Source organism: Homo sapiens, chromosome X (assembly GCF_000001405.40).
Source record: "Homo sapiens chromosome X, GRCh38.p14 Primary Assembly".
NCBI classification, from domain to species: Eukaryota; Metazoa; Chordata; class Mammalia; order Primates; family Hominidae; genus Homo; species Homo sapiens.
Window position 1 is genome coordinate 57,816,540 of NC_000023.11, and position 24,308 is coordinate 57,840,847.

The window sequence follows — 24,308 nt, forward strand, 5'->3', positions numbered from 1 at the left end:
GTAGACTGGAGCTGTTCCTATTCAGCTATCCACACCAGGATCCTTTTTCTTGTGCCAATTAGGTAAATGACATGGACACACATGGAGTGGTTTTAAAAAGTGGAAAGTTTAATTAGGCAAGAAAGAAGAAGAAAGGCTCCCTCCATAGAGAGGGAGGGGGGCCCTGAATGGAGAAAAACCCCACATGTGGTGGAAACGTAGTTGGTTATATTCAGAGGCTAAAGGAGGTGGTTTCTAATTTGCATAGGGCCCAGGGGATTGGTGTGACCAGATGTGTCATTCATGTAGCCCATGAAAAACCTGGCCCTCTCACCCTAGTCTTTTAATATGCAAATGCTGGTCGCCATGATGTCTTGCACACGTGGTGTTATCTGGAGGTGGCCATCACACCTGGCACACATGGTGAAAAGGAGAAGAGGGAGGGAACTGCCATGTTGGTTGGACCTGGTTTCTAATCACTGGCATTTACATATCAATGCTTAGTCTGATTTTTCAAGCCACTTTCTGTTAGAAAAAAAATGTTTTAAGGGTTGCTTTTTATTAAAGGATATTTCCACTGAGAACCTTTACCCTTTCTAGTTGCCTAAAAATTATTTCTAAATAACTCCTGTATTAGTCCCCCTCAAGAGAAGTAAACCTACCTGCTGTTAGGGGGCTTTGGACAATAATTCTTTCTAGCTAATTCCTGCTGGAAAAGGGGCGTTCATGTGGGGGGAACAGCAGTTGGGCCTTCTGAGGTTGATCTAAAAGTTCTCGGAAGAATCACATGTCCTTATGTGGCTGTCTGCAGCACCATTTGGAGTTTGATTGCTTCTAGGTAAAAGTATATGCATTTTACAAGGAGGTTTAAAATATAGGGTTAGAATATTAGCATTAAGATGACCACTCTTAATGGGGGTCCTATAGACCATAACTGAGAGTAGAGTTTGATACTGTTAGTTACACCAGTGGATTGTAATGCTGGTTTGTCTCCACTAGATGTTGCTGTAATTACCAGAAACGTTAATATAAAAGTAACATTTTCCTTGAGAAAAGCATACATTTCCCCCTTGACTTATTAGAGAGTAACTTTAGTTTTAGGCTATTTTTATAACTTGCAATATGATTGGGAGAAATACATTATTGGGTGGCTAAAATAACCTTAACGTTAATCTTGATGATTTTTTTCTTTAATTATTAAATTCTTTCATGAATTTCATGGATCTCTTACAACATACTCAAGACTTGTTCTAAACATCCTTTCTTTAAACAACCAGTCATTTCCCCTTAAGACAAAAATTTACCATAGAAAATCCTTTCTTATATATAAAATTCCTTCCTTTATAACCTCTTTCCATAATTTAGAGTGCACCATATTACCAATCTTCAATAAAAAGTCCTATCAAACTTAATGATAGTAAAACTTTCATGCTTAGTTCTTATCTGTAACTATTAGTCCTGCTATAAGCAAAATAACCTTGGCTTAATCTTTCCTGCAATTATTAACCCTGTTATAAGGATGATAATCAGGCAAAATATTATAGCAATTAGAATTTTACAACCAGAATTTCACATTGTGGGTCCCGCAGTGTATAGTTCTATTGGAAGTAGTAGTATGACTATAACAATTCCCACAATAGTGGCATAGAAAATAATTTCCGTTTAAAAGTTTACTTGCTGAGATATAACATTTTCCTGTGGGGATCTACAAATTTATAAATGCGATTCTATGAATAATTAAAATCATCCTGCAAATATGCATTAATAGAAGTTCTAATATTCAGCAGTGAATTTAAGAGGAAAGGGTAGAAATAATGAAAACTATCTGGTGAGGTAGGAATGGGACTGAGTAAAATGAGTATCCCTCACTCATTATGTATTTGTTATGATTTTCAGCTTAAGATCTCCTATTTCTTCACATTGATATTCAGGACGTTCCTCTGGGCTGGTAGGTGTTGCTCCCTCAGCGCTTCAGGCTTTGACTTGAGTGTGATGTATTCAGAAGTTGATTCCTGTAACTTTTATTGCAAAGGGGGTTGAAAGAAGAACAGTGTAGGCCCCTTCCCAGCTTGTCTTAGGGAAGGAGAGATGAGATTTTTCACTAACACCCAATTTTCTGGGTTAAATAAACGTGGTTCTATTTCCTGGGTTGGGCTTCTGATAGTTGTGTTAATTCTTGTTGGAAGTGAGCTAGAGAGGTTATATGTCTAGCCAATTTAGAACTTTCCTGCCTGAAAACAAATTCTGAGCACATTGATAGGTCTTATCCTTTCCTAAGTGAAAAGCTTGGTGAAGGATTTTAAGGACTTTCCATTGGCTGGGGGCTGGCAAATGGAGTTTGCTATCCTCTGACTGTAGCCATCCTGAGGGCTGGAAAGTATGCCTTCGACAAGAGGCCTATTCTATTTCTGCAGGCAAATAGTAATGTTTAATTTCTCTTATGGAGCCTTCCTAGATTAGAGGCATTTAAAGTATGTTAATGTCTTGAGGCTTCCTTGCCACTGACTTAGCTGCCTGATCAGCTAACCTATTTCCTTTGGCTACTTTATTTGTTTCCTTTTGAGGTCCCCTACAATGCATCCCTGCTATTTCTCATGGAAGAAAAACTGAGAATAATAACCTGCTAATTTATGGTGATATTTATAGCAGATCCGCTCGTGGTAAGAAAATGCCTTTCCTTTTAAATGGCGGCATGAACGTGGAGAGCTAAAAAAGCATACTTGGAATCAGTGTAAATGTTAGCTATCTTTCCCTTGCTTAATTTAAGTGTTCTTGTAAGAGCTATTAGTTCAACTAATTGAGTGCTTGTGTCTGGGAAGAGTAACTACTGCTTATTCTGCCTTATGTACTTCTTGCTTTACTGGCTGTTTGTTAGCTAAGAGCTTACTCTGGAGGACAGTGATCATGCAATGTTATGTGGAGTGTAAACAGTTAAATTATTTCCTGAGGTTAATTTGGAGGCTTTTCTGAGTCATAAACTATCGTGACAATGGCTTGGAAGCATGTGTGAACAATAGGTCCTCTTAACTGCAACTAAGGCTGAGAAAAATACTGGGTTAGAGTTTTTCCCGAGATGTCCCTTACAGTCGTGCTATGGGAAGAGGAGAGGCCTGAATTAGAGAGGAGAAAAGAGAGAGAGACTGGTTCCAGTGTTTAGAAGGATGTCTACTTTCATTTCTTCAATTTCCAGAATCACGCAGGGCTCCTGTGCTGTAATGGCAGTTTGAGCCACTGGAGCTGGAGGTTTGAGCCCCAGAACCCATCAGTCCTGTTGATCTATCTGTGAGACTGGTTCTGAACCCAGTGACCTCCATCTCCAGGGGCAGTTACAACTTCAGTGGTCTCCACCACAGGCTGGACAGGGTTGAGGTGGTTTTGTCTTGCTGCCCAGGTATTTCTTATTAAAATGCCCTGACTTGCCACATTGATAGGAGCTAGTGGATGCACCTTGGGTACCCTGGACTTTGCAAGCCTGCAAAGCCACTACTAGAGCTTCTGTTCTTCTCTTGAGCTTTCTCTCTTTCTTTTGGGCCTCCTCCTAGTCTGTATTATAAAAGACAGAAGTGGCCACCTTCAGGAGGTTCTCTAAGGTGCTATCTGGTCCTATAGCTTGCTTCTGTTGTTTCCTTCTAATATCGGGAGCTACCTGTGTAATAAACTTCTCCTTCAAGATGAGCTGCCCCTTGACTGAATCAGGGGTTAAGGAGGTGTGTTTTATTAGTGCCTCTCTCAGCCTTTCCATAAAGGCTACAGGATTCTCATCTGGGTTTTTGATTTATCATAGACAGTTTAGAATAATTGAGAGGTCTGGTCTTAGTTCTTCATAGGCCCTCTAAAATGCATATTAAATAGTGCTTTCTTTTCCATTCATCTGCAGAGCTACTGGGGTACCAATCAGGATTGTCAAGGGGAACTGCTTCCCTTCCCATTGGGAATGGTGTTTCTGCTATTTTTTCACTTTCCCCAAGTTTTTCCTTCCCTTTTGGTGTATTATAGGAGATATGTTGCTCATCTCTGAAATTATCTGCTGCTTGAAGAGCTGCCTGCTTTTCAGCTACCATTAAGGTTTGGTTTAGGAGCAGTATAACATCCTTCCATGTGTGGTAAAACACCCGAGTTAAATTTTGGAAAGCTTTCATATACCTATCAGTGTCGTCAGAAAATCTGCCTATATCTCTCTTTATTTGCCTAAGGTCCTGTAATGAGAAGGGAACTTGAACCCTCATGGCATCATTTCCATCAGGCATTTCCTGCAGAGGTAAGAGAGAAGCAGGGAAAGTGGGTAATACTGGAGATGGTGGAGCTGGAGGAGCTGATGGTATGATTGGAGGGGGTTCTGAATGAGGGGGGCTGGAAGGGTTGGGGCATTCAATAGTTGTCTCAGATTGCTCCTCTGAAATCTGCTTTAGCTCTGGGGAACAATTTCCTGTGGCCTTGCCCAATATTATCGCTAAGAGAGCTGGAATGGTCTTATAATGCTTGCAAAGGTTTAGTAAAAATGTTATGCCCTTGTGCAAAAGAAAATGAGTCGCTTTTCTCTTCAAAGTCCTGAGGTTAAAAAAGTTCCAGTGCTTCAGAGTACACTCCAAAGGGGTGCAAGCTGAAGATATTGTTACCCATTAAAAAAAAGAAGTGAGAATAAAAGCATCTTTTTTGTCTCCTTCCTTTCCATATGACCCAGGGTGGAGAATAACACAGTGGAGCATCCTTCCGACTGTTTTCCCTCCCTGGATCTTGGGTCCAGGCACCCTGTTAAATGTGCTGCCTATGGTTGTGGGCAATCCTTCCGACTCTTTTCCCTCCCTGGTTCCTAGGTCCAGGCACCCTGTTAAATGTGCTGCCCATGGTTGTAGGCATAGCCCTCCAAGCCATGGAACTGAATAAACTAAGTGATGGGATTAATCATGCATTATCCATGCAACTTATCTTATTGCCTTGTGTGATTCCCCTTTGACTTCCTAAACCTATGTGATCTGCCTGGCTTGCCAGAAAACGGATCTCCAGAGAGACTGTGTCGTCTTTGGGCAAGGCTCCTTTAATGGAGGAAATATGCTAGACTTCCTGCTATTATGGCTCGTGCTAAAGCATTTACCCTTAGAAAAATGGCTCTGGTTACCCTCTGGACTTAAAATCCCCTAATTAAATACGCTTCTAATAGGAAAGAGGCTAGGTGTCTTAAAGGGACGTGGGGACCTAATGGCAATTTTCCTGCTGATGGGACAGTATCAGGACTAAAATTTGGCTGTGGTGGACATTTTATTCTTAATAGTTGAAAGCAGAATTTCCCCACTCACAGAAGGGGCTTAGAGCCTGATTTCTAGTGGCGCAAAAAGAAGCTGCAGTGTTACTTTAAAAAATGTGCCTCATGTAGAGGATTTCTGTATCCACTAGGTAGCGCTGTTGGCTTAGAAATACCATGTGCTCCCCAGGAACATAGTAGAGACGCTTATTGAGTTACTGCCTGCCGTTTTTGTCAATCTTTCCTAACAGACCTGTTTCCCTGAACTGTAAAAATTCCCACACATTTGACACACACAGAAAGAGAGTAAGAGACTGCAGATAAAAAAAAGAAGGTAAGTTATGTGACAGGATAGCTGGGGATTCTCTACCAACACCCAGAGTGGGCTGTCGGAGGCTGGGTCAGGTCCAGAAGCCTTTGAATAACACCAGGGTGTGCCCTGGCCAGAGATTCTCAGTTGCTTCAGTACTTTTCCCATCCTCACGCAATTGCGAATATTTCTCATGAAAGGAGACTGATTTGGACAGAGCCAACATTCCCAGCACCCTGAGGACACAAGGGGATTGACTAAGTCCTCCTTAGCAAGCCTCACACCTGAGTCTTTTAGACCATCTGTGGCTAGCTCTTGTGGCTTATTAGCCGAAGGACACCCGTTTTTTGTTTGTTTGTTTGTTTGTTTTAGACCAGTGGCCAGCCCTAGTGGCTCATTAATCAGCCAAATGACACCAGTTTTTTGTTTGTTTCTTTGTTTTTGTTTTTTTATATAGTTATTTGAGAGAATAAAAACTGAGGACGAGAAGCCTTGGAAATGAAAGTAGAAAGTCCGCTCCTATACTCACCGCTCCGATGAGTGTTGTACCTTGGATTTCCAGCCAATGCACCAAAATGATATGGCTCCAATGACTGGAGAAACACCAGGGTCCTTCGTCTCCTGCCAATTAGACAAATGACATGGACACACGTGGAGTAGTTTTAAGGAGTGGAAAGTTTAATTAAGAAAGAAGAAGAAAAGCTCCCCCTGTACAGAGGAAAGGGGTACCCGAATGGAGAAAACGCCATGTGCAGTGGAAAAGCAGTTGGATATATTGGGAGGCTGAAGGAGGTGGTGTCTGATTTGCATAGGGTCCAGGGAATTGGTGTGACCAGATGTGTCATTCATGTAGCCCATGAAAAACCTGGCCCTCTCACCCTAGTCTTTTAATATGCTAATGATGGGCGCCATGATGTCCTGCACACGTGGTGTTATCTGGAGATGGCCATGACACCTGGCACAAGTTGTGACAAGGACAAGAGAGCGGGAACGGCCCTGTTGGGTGGACCTGGTTTCTAATCACCAGTATTTGCATATCAATGCTTGCTGGTCTGGTTTTTCAAGCTGCTTTCTGTTAGAAAAGAAATGTTTTGGGGGTTGCTTTTTATTAAACCAAAATTCCACTGAGAACCATTACCCTTTCTAGCTGCCTAAAAATTATTTCTTAGTAACTCCTGTATTAACAACACTATTTACAGTTGCAAAGTCACGAAACAAACAAAGGTGTTTATCAATCTTTGACTGAATAATGTACTAATAGGTAATTTGTGCATATACCTGCAATACTACATAGCTTTAAAAAACAATGAAGACAGGCAATTTGCAGCAACATGGATGGAGCTGAAGTCCATTATCCTAGGTGAAGTAACTGAAAGGTGAAATAACTGAAAATCAAATACCACATATTTCCACTTGCATGTAGGAAATAAACATTTAGTATACATGGAAATAAAGATGAAAATAATAGACACTGGGGACTCCAAAATGGGGAAGGGTGAGAGAGGTTGAGGTTTGAGAAACTACCTATTCCTATTTGGTTAATGGGTACACTACAAGCCCAATCCCACACAGTATGCAATATATCCATGTAACAAACATGCATATGTACCCTTTGAATCTTAAAAATCACTAAATTGAAAAATATTTAAAAAGTACATTTATAAATATTTTATTCATTTAACTTCTATAAACCAGAAAGCAAGACCTCACCAGATATTGAATCTGCCGCCACTTTGACCTTAAACACCCTGGCCTCCAGACTTGGGAGAAATAATGTATTTCTGTCATTATAAGCTACCCAGTTTGTGGTATTTTGTTATAGCTGCCCAAATAGACAGACTGACACAATCCATTATTTTTTATTGTATTTTTCAGATCCAAGATTTCTTTTTTTTTTTTATACTTTAAGTTCTAGGATACATGAGCACAACGTGCAGGTTTGTTACACATGTATACATGTGCCATGTTGGTGTGTTGCACCCATTAACTAGTCATTTACATTAGGTACATCTTCTAATGCTATCCCTCCCCCCTACCCCCACCCCGCGATAAGCCCCAGTGTGTGATGTTCCCCAACCTGTGTTCAAGTGTTCTCATAGTTCAATTCCCACCTATGAGTGAGAACATGTGGTGTTTGGTTTTTTGTCCTTGCCATAGTTTGCTGAGAATGATGGTTTCCAGCTTCATCCATGTCCCTACAAAGGACATGAACTCATCATTTTTTATGGCTGCATAGTATTCCATGGTGTATATGTGCCACATTTTCTTAATCCAGTCTTATCATTGATGGACATTTGGGTTGGTTCCAAGTCTTTGCTATTGTGAATAGTGCCACAATAAACATACGTGTGCATGTGTCTTTATAACAGCATGATTTATAACCCTTTGGGTATATACCCAGTAATGGGATGGCTGGGTCAAATGGTATTTCTAGTTCTAGATCCCTGAGGAATCGCCAAACTATCTTCCACAGTGGTTGAACTAGTATACATTCCCACCAACAGTGTAAAAGTGTTCCTATTTCTCCACATCCTCTCCAGCACCTGTTGTTTCCTGACTTTTTAATGATCGCCATTCTAACTGGTGTGAGATGGTACCTCATGGTGGTTTTGATTTCCATTTCTCTGATGGCCAGTGATGATGAGCATTTTTTCATGTGTCTTTTGGCTGCATAAATGTCTTCTTTTGAGAAGTGTCTGTTCATATCCTATGCCCACTTTTTGCTGGGGTAGTTTGTTTTTTTTTTCTTGTAAATTTGTTTGAGTTCATTGTAGATTCTGGATATTAGCCCTTTGTCAGATGAGTAGATTGCAAAAATCTCCTCCCATTCTGTAGGTTGCTGGTTCACTCTAGTTTCTTTTGCTGTGCAGATGCTCTTTAGTTTAATTAGATCCCATTTGTAATTTTGGCCCTTGTTGCCAATGCTTTTGGTGTTTTAGACATGAATTCCTTGCCCATGCCTATGTCGTGCATGGTATTGCCTAGGTTTTCTTCTAGAGTTTTTATGGTTTTAGGGCTAACATTTAAGTCTTTCATCCATCTTGAGTTAATTTTGATATAAGGTGTAAGGAAGGGATCCAGTTTCAGCTTTCTACATATGGCTAGCCAGTGTTCCCAGCACTATTTATTAAATAGGGAATCCTTTCCCCATTGCTTGTTTTTGTCAGGTTTGTCAAAGATCAGATGGTTGTAGATGTATGGTATTATTTCTGAGGGCTCTGTTCTGTTCCGTTGGTCTATATCTCTGTTTTGGTACCAGTACTATGTTGTTTTGGTTACTGTAGCCTCGTAGTATAGTTTGAAGTCAGGTAGTGTGATGCCTCCAGCTTTGTTCTTTTGGCTTAGGATTGACTTGGCAATGCGTGCTCTTTTTTAGTTCCATATGAACTTTGAAGTAGTTCTTTCCAATTCTATGAAGAAAGTCATTGGTAGCTTGATGGGGATGGCATTGAATCTATAAATTACCTTGGGTAGTATGGCCATTTTCACGATATTGATTCTTCCTGTCCATGAGCATGGAATGTTCTTCCATTTGTTTGTGTCCTCTTATATTTTGTTGAGCACTGGTTTGTAGTTCTCCTTGAAGAGGTCCTTCACATCCCTTGTAAGTTGGATTCCGAGGTATTTTATTCTCTTTGAAGCAACTGTGAATGGGAGTTCACTCATGATTTGGCTCTCTGTTTGTCTTTTATTGATGTATAAGAATGCTTGTGATTTTTGCACATTGATTTTGTATCCTGAGACTTTGCTAAAGTTGCTTATCAGCTTAATGAGATTTTGGGCTGAGACAGTGGGGTTTTCCAGATATACAATCATGTCATCTGCTAACAGGGACAATTTGACTTCCTCTTTTCCTAATTGAATACCCTTTATTTCCTTCTCCTGCCTAATTGCCCTGGCCAGAACTTCTAACCTTATGTTGAATAGGAGTGGTGAGAGAGGGCATCCCTGTCTTGTGCCAGTTTTCAAAGGGAATGCTTCCAGTTTGTGCCCATTCAGTTGATGTTGGCTGTGGGTTTGTCATAAACAGGTCTTATTATTTTGAGATACATCACATCAATAGCTAATTTATTGAGTTTTTAGTATGAAGGGCTGTTGAATTTTGTCAAAGGCCTTTTCTGCATCTATTGAGATAATCATGTGGTTTTTGTCTTTGGTTCTGTTTATATGCTGGATTATGTTTATTGATTTGCATATGTTGAACCAGCCTTGCATCCCAGGGATGAAGCCCACTTGATCATGATGGATAAGCTTTTTGATGTGCTGCTGGATTTGGTTTGACAGTATTTTATTGAGGATTTTTGCATCGATGTTCATCAGGGATATTGTTCTAAAATTCTCCTTTTTTGTTGTGTCTCTGCCAAGCTTTGGTATCAGGATGATGCTGGCCTCATAAAATGAGTTAGGGAGGATTCCCTCTTTTTCTATTGATTGGAATATTTTCAGAAGGAATGGTATCAGCTCCTCCTTGTACCTCTGGTTGAATGCAGCTATTAATCCATCTGGTCCTGGAATTTTTTGGTTGGTAGGCTATTAATTATTGCCTCAATTTCAGAGGCTGTTATTGGTCTATTCAGGGATTCAACTTCTTCCTGGTTTAGTCTTGGGAGGGTGTATGTGTCCAGGAATTTATCCATTTCTTCTAGATTTTGTAGTTTATTTGCGTAGAGGTGTTTATAGTATTCTCCGTGGGTAGTTTGTATTTCTGTGGGATTGGAGGTGATATTCCCTTTATCATTTTTTGTTCTGTCTATTTGATTCTTCTCTCTTTTCTTCTTTATTAGTCTTGCTAGCGGTCTATCAATTTTGTTGATCTTTTCAAAAAACCAGCTCCTGGATTCATTGATTTTTTGAAGGGTTTTTTGTGTCTCTATCTCCTTGAGTTCTGCTCTGATCTTAGTTATTTCTTGCCTTCTGCTACCTTTTGAAAGTGTTTGCTCTTGCTTCTCTAGTTCTTTTAATTGTGATGTTAGGGTGTCAATTTTAGATCTTTCCTGCTTTCTCTTGTGGGCATTTGGTGCTATAAATTTCCCTCTACACAGTGCTTTAAATGTGTCCCAGAGATTCTGGTATGTTGTGTCTTTGTTCTCATTGGTTTCAAAGAACATCTTTAATTCTGCCTTGATTTCGTTATGTACCCAGTAGTCATTCAGGAGCAGGTTGTTCAGTTTCCATGTAGTTGAGCCGTTTTCAGTGAGTTTCTTAATCTTGACTTCTAGTTTGATTGCACTGTGGTCTGAGAGACAGTTTGTTATAATTTCTGTTCTTTTACATTTGCTGAGGAGTGCTTTACTTCCAACTATGTGGACAGTTTTGGAATAAGTCTGATGTGGTGCTGAGAAGAATATATATTCTGTTGATTTGGGGTGGAGAGTTCTGTAGATGTCTATTAGGTCCGCTTGGGGCAGAGCTGAATTCAATTCCTGGGTATCCTTGTTAACTTTCTGTCTCATTGATCTGTCTAATGTTGACAGTGGGGTGTTAAAGTGAGGCATTGCCTCACCCGGGAAGCGCAAGGGGTCAGGGAATTCCCTTTCCTAGTCAAATAAAGAGGTGACAGATGGCATCTGGAAAATCGGGCCCCTCCTACCCTAATACTGTGCTTTTCCAATGGGCTTAAAAAACGGCACACCAGGAGATTATATCCCTCACATGGCTCAGAGGGTCCTACGCCCACGGAGTCTCACTCATTGCTAGCACAGCAGTCCGAGATGAAACTGCAAGGTGGCAGCGAGGCTGGGGGAGGGACGCCCACCATTGCCGAGTTAGTTGTTTGATTAGGTAAACAAAGCGGCCAGGAAGCTTGAACTGGGTGGAGCCCACCACAGCTCAAGGAGGCCTGCCTGCCTCTGTAGGCTCCACCTCTGGGGGCAGGGCACAGACAAACAAAAAGACAGCAGTAACCTCTGCAGACTTAAATGTCTCTCTCTGACAGCTTTGAAGACAGTAGTGGTTCTCCCAGCATGCAGCTTGAGGTCTGAGAATGGGCAGACTGCCTCCTCAAGTGGGTCCCTGACCCCTGAGTAGCCTAACTGGGAGGCACCCCCCCAGTAGGGACGGACTGACACCTTACATGGCCGGGTACTCCTCTGAGACAAAAGTTCCAGAGGAACGTCTTTAAGTAATTTTTTGTCTTGTTTTGTTTTGCTTTGTTTCACTTTGAGGCACGGTCTCACTCTGTCACAGAGGCTGGAATGCAGTGGCATGGTCTCAGCTTACTGCAACTTCCACTTTCCAGGTTCAAGCAATTCTCCCACCTTGGCCTCTTGAGTAGCTGGGACTACAGGCATGCACCATTATGCTGGGCTAATTTTTGTGTTTTTTTTAGTAGACACAAGGTTTCACCACATTGGCCAGGTTGGTCTTGAACTCCTGACCTCAAGTGATCCATCCCCTCAGCCTCCCAAAATGCTGGGATTACAGACATCAACCACCGTGCCTGGCCTAAAAATATTTTAAATCCAGAATTATATTTCAGAATTTTGATCTTTTGGGATTTCAATATTCAGAGTTATGGTGTTTGGGTTTGTGTCTTTTAAAGAGATGATTAGCTCCCTTATTCACAATAGCCAAGTTATAAAAACAATTTAAATGTCCATTGACAGACGAATGGATAAAGAAAATGTGGTACAAGTCAAATCCTTAATCCAAATATCTTAAATCTGAAATGCTCCAAAATCTGAAACATTTTTAGCACCAACATGATGTCACAAGTATAAATTTTCATACCTGACTTCATGTGATAGGCTCCAGTCAAAATACAGGTAAAATAAAATCTATCAAAACATAGGTAAAGTAAAATTTATCTCCAAAGGTAAAATAAAATGATGTTCAGTCTATGTGTATAAAGCACATATGAAACATAAATAAATTTATTGTTCAGATTTCTGTCCCATCCCCAAGGTATATTAATATGTATATGCAACTATTTCAAGATCCAAAAAATAATCCGTAATCCAAAAATACTTCTAATTCCAAGCAACTCAGCATTTCAGATAAAGGACACTCAACCTGTATACACACACACACACACACACACACACACACACACATATATACACATATACACATATATACACATATACACATATATACATATATACACATATGTGTGTGTGTGTATGTGCATGCGTGTATGTATAAAATGAAATGTTATTAGGCCTTAAGAAAGAAGGAAATTTTGTCCTTTGTGACAATATGGACAGACCTTGAGGACATCATGCTAAGTAAAATAAACGAGAGAGGACAAATACTGCATGATGACACTTTTATGAGGACTTCAAAATAGTCACAAATAGTCAAACTCATGAAACTAGATAGTGGATACTGTTTACCAGCAGCTAAGGAAAGGAAGAAATGGGGAGGGGTCAGTTCAAGGGCAAGAAGTTTCTGTCATGCAAGATGACTAAGTTCTGCAGATCGATTGTATAGAATAGTGCCTATAAATAACAATACTGTATTGCATACATAAACATTTGCTGAGAATAGATTTTATGTTATAACAAAAGAAAACAATTTTAAAGTTAAATAAATGGAGTAAAAGAAAATTATTGGAGATAATGGATGGTTTATGGCTTTGTTTATAGAGATGATCTCACAAGTATGTACTTATCTCCAAACTAACCTAGTTTTATATATTAAATATGTGCAGCATTTTGTGTGTCAATCACTCCTCAATAAAGTGGCTTAAAACAAGACTGCCTATAGAAAATGGCCATATCTGGGGTGACAAATTGACAAATAATTTCATTGGAATCTAGCATATCTCACGTTGTCAATGTAAACCATAGTGATTCTGTTCATAGTCTAACTCATGCAATATTTGAACTTCAGGCTATTGGCATTTTTCAGCAGGAATTCAGGGTTAGTCAAATTTTAGTTAGTACTATTATCTCTAGCCAATAAATCAGAATTGTCTTAGGTTGAGTAATTGTATTTCACAAGGGTGGAAGCAAAATATTAATTCATTAATTTTCCAAGTGTTCTTCTTTGCTCTAAAGCCAGCATCCAATCCTTAGCAACAATTTATTCATCTTCTTGAATATTAGCATTTTATTAAAATACATTTAATTTAAGAATTTAATGTGTTGAAATTATGGCAGATACGTAGATTAGTTCAACTATTGCCATTGTCTGACCCACATTAACAAATTATATATAGAGAGGAAAGCAATCAACATAATGAACTCATTATTCTGAAGCAATGATATGTGGCAAAACTTAACAGATTCTTTTTGTCTTTGAATCTTTTCAATATATTAATAAAGCAAAATTGATCCACTGCTGTACTTGAGTTGCTATTACCCAGGTGGAAAAGGGTCACTATTATCATTTCAGTATTACCATGATTTCCTGGGATTGTCTTAAAATGATGCTTTGGAAAAATTCCATTTGGTTTCCAAGCCCCATAAATATCTCAGGCTATTTTTTAAAGAAAAATTCATAAATGACTTAAGTCACCAAAAATATAATGGAATTTAAACTATAGTAAAACTGTAGGCAAACTCAAAAGTTATTTGAAATGTATCCTAGGGGTATTAAATTTGAGTTAGAGATAACTTCACTGGCAAGAATCGCATGAACAGGAGTGTGTACCAGATGTCTTTGTAATGTCACCTAGACAATTGCTTATGTGATAACAAATTTAAGAAAGACCAAAGTAATTCATATCACATCTAAGGTTAAGAAAATGAAATACCTCCAATGCACCATTTATTTGCAATGATTGTTGAATTTTGTCTGTATCTATTATTTATTTTTTTCAAAAGATGAGTGCAAGGTTTTATTGAGTGGTGGAGATGGCTCTCGGCCAGATGGATGGGGAGCCGTAAGGTGGTCTTCCCCTAGAGTTGGGCTGCCCAGTGGCCAGACTCTTCCCTGACCACCCCCAGCCAAACAGATGCCCAGAAGTCCGTGCCTTCTCTTCTGTCTTTCTCTGCCGTGTCTTTCAGTCGTCACTGGTCTGCAGTCTGCTGGTGTCTACTGGTCTATTCCTCTGTTCCTCTCAACATTCAGCTACTTGTGTCTGTGCCCGCTAATGTCTGGAGTTTATATGGGCACAGGATGGGGGAGGTGGTGGGCCAGAGTGGTCTTGGAAAAATGCAACATTTTTTTGTGTGTGTGTGTGCTTTATTTGTTGAAATTCTAACAGTCAATTGTAATATAAATGTGTATTTTTATTGCAAAAGTAAAATCCTATAATAATTAATGATGGCTGTGAAAACCATTAATTTTTATGTATAGAACCGTTATTAAGAGTTTTCAGAGTTAAATGAATAAGGAAAAAGGTTGACAGTTATTATAAATATTATGAAAATGCATGAAGAAAATAACATTAGAAAGAACACATTTCTTTTTTGTCTAATAATTATTTATACAATTTAAATAATAATAAAAGACTGAAAAAAGAGATTACATTACATATTAATTCGAATTTAGCAGAATTGTTTGGTGTATGAACAATTATAACACCAAATAAAATAAACTTTTAAGAACTTAAAGTTTAAGAATTTAAAATATGGCTCTTTACTTCCATTTAGGCAAAACATTTGTAAAAAACCTTATTGATAATTCATCACATCTTGGGAGTATGATTTAAAAGGTAAATGTCAATTTTGCAACCTCAAACTATCATACACAGGAAAAAATAAATGATAAACTATAAATTAACTTTTTTTATTATTATTATACTTTAAGTTTTAGGGTACATGTGCACAACGTGCAGGTTTGTTACATATGTATACATGTGCCATGTTGGTGTGCTGCAACAATTAACTCATCATTTAGCATTAGGTATATCTCCTAATGCTGTCCCTCCCCCCTCCCCCCACCCCACAACAGTCCCCGGTGCGTGATGTTCCCCTTCCTGTGTCCATGTGTTCTCACTGTTCAATTCCCACCTATGAGTGAGAACATGCGGTGTTTGGTTTTTTGTCCTTGCGATAGTTTGCTGAGAATGATAGTTTCCAGGTTCATCCATGTCTCTACAAAGACATGAACTCATCATTTTTTATGGCTGCATAGTATTCTATGGTGTATATGTGCCACATTTTCTGAAATAATGCTGCATATCTACAACTATCCGATCTTTGACAAACCTGACAAAAACAAGCAATGGGGAAAGGGTTCCCTATTTAATAAATGGTGCTTGGAAAACTGGCTAGCCATATGTAGAAAACTGAAACTGGATCCCTTCCTTACACCTTATACAAAAATTAATTCAAGATGGATTAAAGACTTAAATGTTAGACCTAAAACCATAAAAACCCTAGAAGAAAATCTAGGCAATACCATTCAGGACATAGGCATGGGCAAGGACTTCATGTCTAAAACACCAAAAACAATGGTAACAAAAGCCAAAATTGACAAATGGGATCTAATTAAACTAAAGAGCTTCTGCACGGCAAAAAAACTACCACCAGAGTGAACAGCAACCTACAGAATGGGAGAAAATTTTTGCAATCTACCCATCTGACAAAGGGCTAATATCCAGAATCTACAAAGAACTCAAACAAATTTACAAGAAAAAAAATCAGAAAGTGGGCAAAGGATATGAACAGACAGTTCTCTAAAGAAGACATCTATGCAGTCAATAGACACGTGAAAAAATGGTGATCATCACCAGTCATCAGAGAAATGCAAATCAAAACCACAATGAGATACCATCTCATGCCAGTTAGAATGGCAGTCATTAAAAACTCAGGAAACAACACATTATGGACAGGATGTGGAGAAATAGGAACACTTTAACACTGTTGGTGGGAGTGTAAATCGGTGCAAACATTGTGGAAGACAGTGTGGTGATTTCTCAAGGATCTAGAACTAGAATTACCATTTGACCCAGCAATCCCCTTACTGGGTATATACCCAAAGGATTATAAGTCATTCTACTGTAAAGACATATGCAGACATATGTTTATTGCAGCACAATCACAATAACAAAGACTTGGAACCAACCCAAATGTCCATCAATGATAGACTAGATTAAGAAAATGTGGAACATATACACCATGGAATACTATGCAGCCATAAAAAAGGATGAGTTCCTCTCCTTTTTAGGCACATGGATGAAGCTGGAAACCATCATTCTCAGCAAACTATCACAAGGACAGTAAACCAAACACCACATGTTCTCACTCATAGGTAGGAATTGAACAATGAGATCACTTGGACAAAGGGAACATCACACACTGGGGCCTGTCATGGCGTGGGGGGCTGAGAGAGGGATAGCATTAGGAGAAATACCTAACGTAAATGATGAGTTGATTGGTGCAGCAAACCAACATGGCACATGTATACCTATGTATCAAACCTGCACTTTGTGCACATGTACCCTATAACTTAAAGTATAATAAAGGGAAAAAAAGGTGCAGGGACAAAAAAGAGTGTGTTATCTGAGCTAGAGTGAGAAGTCTGGTTGGAGCAAAGGTGTTGGTAGGATTCTGGTTTGAGCAAAGGTGTTGGGAGGATAAGGCTAAACAGATCACATAGAAGCTATGTTCTACAATGTGGCTTGGGTGACCCTGCCACATTGGGTGCCACAAAACAGAGAGCCACAGGAGGATTAAAACGCAAAACTGACATGATCAGATACATCATTTCAGAACTGTAACCTGGTGCCAGTGATACGGGAGGGCATGGACGTGCTGGGTAGAGAAGAGGAGTGTCCCCGGAAAGGGCTCCACCCTTGGGCCTGTGCCCATGGACCTAAGTGAAAACAGACACTCCTGTTTTCAGACCAAAATGTTGCATTTTTGTTGGACATTTGGGTTGGTTCCAAGTCTTTGCTATTGTGAATAGTGCCACAATAAACATATGTGTTCATGTGTCTTTATAGCAGCATGATTTATAATCCTTAGGGTATATACCCAGTAATGGGATGGCTGGGTCAAATGGTATTTCTAGTTCTAGATCCCTGAGGAATCGCCACACTGACTTCCACAATGGTTGAACTAGTTTACAGTCCCACCAACAGTGTAAAAGTGTTCCTATTTCTCCACATCCTCTCCAGCACCTGTTGTTTCCTGACTTTTAATGATCGCCATTCTAACTGGTGTGAGATGGTATCTCATTGTGGTTTTGATTTGCATTTCTCTGATGGTCAGTCATGATGAGCATTTTTTCATGTGTTTTTTTGGCTGCATAAATGTCTTCTTTTGAGAAGTGTCTGTTCATATCCTTTGCCCACTTTTTGATGGTGTTGTTTGTTTTTTTCTTGTAAATTTGTTGGTGTCAGATGACAAGGGAGTATATTTTCTTAAGGCCTCCTGTAGCCACTCGAGGAAGGCAGAAGGATTTTCTTCCTTTTCCTGAGTTATGGTGGACATCACTGAATAATTAATGGGCTTCTTCCTAATTATCCTTAGTCCTTCTAGAACACAGGTCAACAGATGTTTATGACTCCAGTCCCCAAGATCTGAGTCAAGGTCCCAGTGGGGATCCATACTGGGGATGGCTTGCTGACTGGTAGGGAATTTGTCCCTTTCTTCAGCTGTCATCCTATCATTTACTTGGCTAAGATACCAGGTAACTCCAAAACCTAGGGCTGCAGCTAAAGCCACATTCTTTTCATTAAAGGCCAGGGTCTGATCTAACAATAGCATGACATCTCTCCAAGTGAGGTCAAAGGTTTGCCCTAGACCCTGTAGGACATCATGTACCAACAAGGATCATCTGAAAACTTCCCCAGGTCTTACCTTGATCTGCTTTAAATCAGAGAGGGAGAAGGGGACATGTACCTGGGTTGGGCCAAATTCCACTCCCCCTACAGCTTGAAAGGGACACAACAAATAGCCTGGAGGGTGGTTTGTGGTCCCTTGGAGATTTCTTTGCTTGGGCAGGGGAGATTAGAGAAGGCTTATCATTAATAGGAAGGGGAGCTATAGGAAGGCTAGGATATAGAGGTAAGCTGAGATGTCCTCCTGTGGGATGTAAATTGCAAGCTTTGCATAGTTGTGGATTATCCTTCAATGAAAAGAAAGCTTGGATATAAGGTATTTCACTCCATTTGCCTTCCCTCTTACAGAAAAGGTCAAGCTGCAGGATAACATTGTAATTTATACTTCCCTCAGGTGGCCATTTTTCCCCATCAGAGAGAGAATATTGGGGCCAGGCTATAGTTCAGAAAAAATGAGCCACCTCTTTTTCAGGGTTTGCAGGTCAAATTGGTCCCAATGGCTTAGGAAGCATTTCAAGGGTGAGCCTGTTGATGCCTGAGTGTTTCCCATCTGAAAGAAACAACTGCCTGTGGTTTTGGTTTGTTTTATCCCCCCCACCCAAGAACCCACAATGGTCCCTGGACCCTGATGATCAGAATAGTTGTGCTTATCCATGCAGCAGCTGATCCCCCTCTTGCCCAATAACCCCAAACTGTCCCTGGACCCTGCTGATCGGAATAGTTGTCCTCACCAATGCAACAGAAGAAACACTAGTTTTCCTCCTAGACCACAAGAAGGACTGAGGAAGGTCGGATTTAGTGGCCCTTACTGATGCATTCTCGAAAACCTGCACCCTTGCCTTTCCTCTTAGACCACAAAGATGACTGAGAAAAATCGGATTTAGTGGCGCTTACCGACACATTCTCGAAAATCTATTAGAGTCCTAAGCATTTTCTCCTGTTAGTATTGGGACCTTACCCCTGTCCTATAAAGATGATATGCCCCAAAAATGGAGTGGAGGGCTATACCCTGAGGGAGGGAAGGGATCTCCAGGGTTGGAAGAGTGATGTGTTTTGTCCTCACTTCTCATCATATGAATAGAAAGGATATCATTTCTGAGGCTCCCCATATCCTAGCTTCGGGAATAGCTTTTGTTAGGCCTGCTTGTCTGAGGAGGGATCCTAAAATTCCAGATAGTCTCCCTCCCATGATGGGGCTTTGGGCAAAAATTATATCTTTCTGATTGGTGAGCCTAGCTGCCTAAAGAAAGGAACAGAGTCCCAAAATTTATACTAGAAATCATTCTTATAGGAGAAACTAGTAAAGCACCAGAGACAGGGAGTGGTTTTTAGAAGCAGGACTAGCCTCAGAGAAGAGAGGCAGGAGGAAGTGTGTCTGACAGGCATTAGGACCCAGGAGGCAAGGGTCAGGATAGATAGGATAGATGGGTGAGTCTCCCTTGGGCGACGTGACTTTGAGAGTTCCACTCATGACTACAGGGTCAACCAACTTTTTGTTGGGACCCCGGAGCTGAACAGCTTTCCTGTCTGTTGACCCTCAGCTCAGCCCAGAAGTACAGGAAAAGCGGAAGCTGGTTCCAGGCAAGCCAATGCTCCCAACTTCAAAGAGTCAGGGGTTGTTAGAGAGCCCTTTCCCAGAAAGCCTGACAACCGTGTCTTTAGTCTGGTGGCCGCGCTAGTAGCTTTTAACTGGCTGACAGGTGCCTGGTGTTTAGCCCCCAAATCCTAAGGAAAAATAGGACAGAATAGCAAGCAAAAGGGGTGCAATGGTACTCACCGCTTGGCGATAGTCCCATCTGGGTCACCAAGATGTGTCCATAGTTGGTTCCTTCCACTGGGTTCTTGGTCTCGCTGACTTCAAGAATGAAGCCACAGACCTTCGCAGAGAGTGTTACAGCTCTTAAAGGTGGCACAGACCCAAAGAGTGAGCAGCAGCAAGATTTACTGTGAAGAGCAAAAGAATAAAGCTTCCACAGCGTGGAAGTTGACCCGAGCGGGTTGCTGCTGCTGGCTGGGGTGGCCAGCTTTTATTCCCTTATTTGTCCCCACCCATGTCCTGCTGATTGGTCCATTTTACAGTGTGCTGATTGGTCCATTGTAGAGAGCACCGATTGGTCCATTTTACAAGGCACTGATTGGTCCATTTTACAAACTTCTAGCTAGCCACAGAGCACTGATTGGTGTGTTTTTACAGAGCACTGATTAGTACATTTTACAACTCTCTTGTAAGACCAAAAAGTTCTCCAAGTCCCCACCCAACCTAGAAGTCGAACTGGCTTCACTTCTCACTCTGGGCAAAAAGCTCCTAGATAACCTTCCCACACAGCTGGAGAATCTCCTATTGTATGCTTCATCCAAGCTGCAATGGGCATCAATCTGAACTTTTGTGAAAAGCACAGCAAATATGGAATTAGGGAACCATTTACTGCTGAAAAGGAAGTGGTGATTCAGGGCCAAGGCAACTCAACAGGTAAATTATACAGAACCACTAAATACACATGTGCTAGACATGTGCAAACCAACCCAGATAGAGGAGACTGGAATAAATAATTCTTTGATGTGAAGACATTAACATACTTTCATAGAAAACCACAGCATACATGGAATCATGACCTCCATAAATGAAAAAAAAAAGCAAGGAAAGAGTGACTAACCCTAACTAGATGGTGAAGTGTGAACTCTCAAATCAAAAATTTAAAATTGAAGTTTGAAGAAACTCAGTGAATTCTATGATAACACAGGAAAGTAAATAAGAAATTTATGAGAGAAATTGAACAAAGAGATTTAAATAATTTAAAAAATCAAACAGAAATCCTGGAATGGAGAAATACATTGGAAGAAATAAAAACATACATAAGAGGTTCTCAAAAACAGAATTAATCAAGCAGAAGAAAGAATCAGTGCGCTCAAGGACAGAATATTTGAAAACACAACACCAGAGGAGATGAAAAAAATAATAAAAAGGAAAAAGAACAGCTATGAGATCTAGAAAACAGCCTGAAAAGAGCAGATCTAAGACTCACTGGCTTTCAATATGGAGTTAAGGCACATCAAGTGGTAGAAAGCTTATTAAAAAAATCGTAACAGAAAACTTTCTGAATCTACAAAAAGGTATATACATATCCAGGTATGAAAAGGTCAAAACATCACTAAAAAGATTAAACCAAGATAAGATTGCTCCAAGATACAGAATAATCATACTCTAAAAAGCCAAATTAAAGACAGGACCCTAAAAAAGCAAGTGAAAAATTATTAATATATAATGAAGCTTCAATTAATATGGCAACAGAATTCTCAGTGGAAACGATACAGACTTTGAGGGAGTGAGGTGACATTTTCCAACTGCTGAAGAAAAAGAAATGTCAACTGAGATACTGTACCAAGCAAAGCTGTTCTTCAAACATGAGGGAGAAAAAAAAATTCCCTGAAAAACAAAAGCTGAGGGCATTAATTACTACTAGATTTGATTAGAAATAAAAGATAAAGTTCTTCAATCTAAAAGAAAAGAATGCAAGTGTGCAATAATAAAGGATCTGAAGATAAAAACTTCACTGGTAAAAGTAAGTATACAAAAAGTACAGAATATTCTAATATTGTAACAACAGTATGTAACCACTCATATCTCTGACATGAATAAAATATATAAATGTATGAAAGATAATAACTACAAAATTTGTAAAGAGATAGGCAATATAAAACATACATAAGTGGAGAAAATAAAAGTCATAATGTCGAGGGCATTGAGTTAAAACATATTGTTTTTGTTTCCTTGTTTCCTTTTTTTGTAGTGATTAATGTTAACTTGTATTCTACTTACCTTATTATAAGATGCTCCTTTTTCAACTTTTATTTTAGGTCTGGGGTACATGTGTAAGTTTGTCATATGGGTAAATTGGGTGTCATGGGGGTTTTGTGCACAGATTACTTCATCATTCTAGTAATAAGCATAGTACCCAATAGGTAGTTTTTGATTCTCACCCTCCTCCCACCCTCCACTTTCAAGTAGGCTCTGGAGTCTGTTGTTCCCTTCTTTGTGTTTATGTGTATTCAATATTTAGCTCCCACAAAAAGTGAGAACATGTGGTATTTGGCTTTCTGTTCCTGAATTAGTTTGCTTAGAATAATGCCCTCCAGGTCCATCCATGTTGCTACAAAGAATATTACCTCATTTTTAAGGCTACATAGTATTCCATTGTGTATATGTACCATATATTCTTTATCCTGTCTACTATTGATAGACATTTTGGTTGATTCCATGTCTCTGCTATTGGGAACAGTACTGCAATAAATATATGTGTTATGTGTCTTTATGGTAGAGCAATTTATATTGCTTTGAGTGTGTGCTCAATAATGGGATCTCTGGGTCAAATAGTAATTCTGTTTTAAGTGTTTTGGGAAATGATCAAACTGCTTTCTAAAAGAGTGAACTAATTTACATTCTCACCAGCAGTGTATAAATGTTCACTTTTGTCTATAACCTCATCATGATCTGTTATTTTTTGAGTTTTAAATAATAGCCATTCTGACTGTTGTGAGATGGTATCTCATTTTCGCTTTGATTTGCATTTCTCTAACAAATAGTGATGTTGAGAATGTTTTCACATACTTGTTGGCTGCGAGTATGTCTTATTTTAGGAAGTGTCTGTTCATGTCCTTTGCCCATCTTTTAATATAATTGTTTCATTGCTTGTAAATCTGTTTAAGTTCTTTGTAGATTCTGGATATTAGACCTTTGTCAGATGCATAGCTTGCAAATATTTTCTCCCACTCTGTAGGTTGTCTGTTTACTCTGCTGATGGTTTCTTTTGCTGTGCAGAAGTTCTTCAGCTGATTTAGGTCCCATTTGTTTATTACTATTATTATTATTGTTATTATTATGGTTGCAATTCCTTTTGGCATCTCCATCATAAAATACTTGTCAAGTCTTATGTCCAGAATAGTATTTTCTAGATTATCTTTGAGGGATTTTATAGTTTTAGGTTTTACATTTAAGTCTTTAATCCATTGTGATGGTTAATATCGAGTGTGTCAACTTGATTGGATTGAAGGATACAAAGTATTGTTCCTGGGTGTGTATGTTAGGGTGTTGCCAAAGGAGACTAACATTTGAGTCTCTGGACTGGGAAAGGCAGACCCACCCTCAACCTGAGTGGGCACAATCTAATAAGTTGAAAATGCAGCAAGAATAAAAAGCAGGCAGAAGAACGTGGAAAGACCAGACTGGCTAAATCTTCTAGGCTCCATCTATCTCTCATGCTGGATACTTCCTGCCCTTGAACATTGAACTCCAAGTACTTTGGCTTTAGGACTGTTGGACCTTTGACCACAGACTGAAGACTGCACTGTTGGCTTCCCTACTTTTGAGGCTTTGGGACTCAGACTGGCTTCCTTGCTCCTCGGCTTGCAGACAGCCTATTGTGGGGCCTCACCTTGTGATCATGTATGTCAATACTCCTTAATAAACTCCACTTTAAATACACATCTATCCTATTAGTTCTGTTCCTCTAGAGAATCCTGACTAATACATACATCTTGAGTTGATTTTTTTTTACATGGTGTAAGGAACTCGTCCACTTTCAATCTTCTGCATATTGCTTGCCAGTTATCCTAGCACTATTTTATTGAATAGAGTCCTTCCCCCATGCTTGTTTTTGTTAAGGATAATTGAAGGTGTACAGCATTATTTCAGGGTCTGTATTCTGTTTAATTAGTGTATGTGTCTATTTTTGTATGAGTACTATGCTTCAAATTTACATTATATTCGTCTATTACATTAGTCCATTACATTAACATGAATCTATTTACATTCAATGATATTGATCAGTAAGAACTTACTTCTGCCATTTTCTCATTTGTTTTCTCGTGTGTGTGTGTGTGTGTGTGCGTGTGTGTGTGTGTTCTCTTCCTTCATTCCTTCCTGTCTTCTTTCAGCAAAGGTGATTTCTTTGGTAATATTATTTAGTTTCTTCCTTTTTATTTATTGTGTGTACATTTTGTTTTTTGATTTGAGGTTACCATGAGGCTTGTGAATACAATCTTACAACTCATTATTTTAACCTGATGAGAACTTAACACTGTTTCCATAAAGAAGCAAGCAAGTAAAC

The 24,308-nt window shown here is 39.5% G+C and overlaps 1 long non-coding RNA gene across 1 annotated transcript, besides 1 other annotated feature; it reads right to left on the reverse strand.

Annotated features, from left to right (window-relative positions):
• Positions 1 to 87: 87 nt before the first annotated feature.
• On the reverse strand, positions 88 to 20,148 carry LOC124905232 (uncharacterized). The gene is made up of 2 exons (XR_007068362.1): positions 19,982 to 20,148; positions 88 to 6,149 (listed from the first exon to the last, which is right to left on the reverse strand). It is a non-coding gene; the product is annotated as an uncharacterized LOC124905232 (long non-coding RNA).
• Positions 5,277 to 5,571: an enhancer, noted in NCBI's record as "tiled region #7453; K562 Activating non-DNase unmatched - State 13:Ctcf". NCBI's record gives its function as "activates a minimal TATA promoter and a strong SV40 promoter by Sharpr-MPRA in K562 cells {active_cell/tissue: K562}" and the evidence as "EXISTENCE:reporter gene assay evidence [ECO:0000049][PMID:27701403]".
• Positions 20,149 to 24,308: the final 4,160 nt, after the last annotated feature.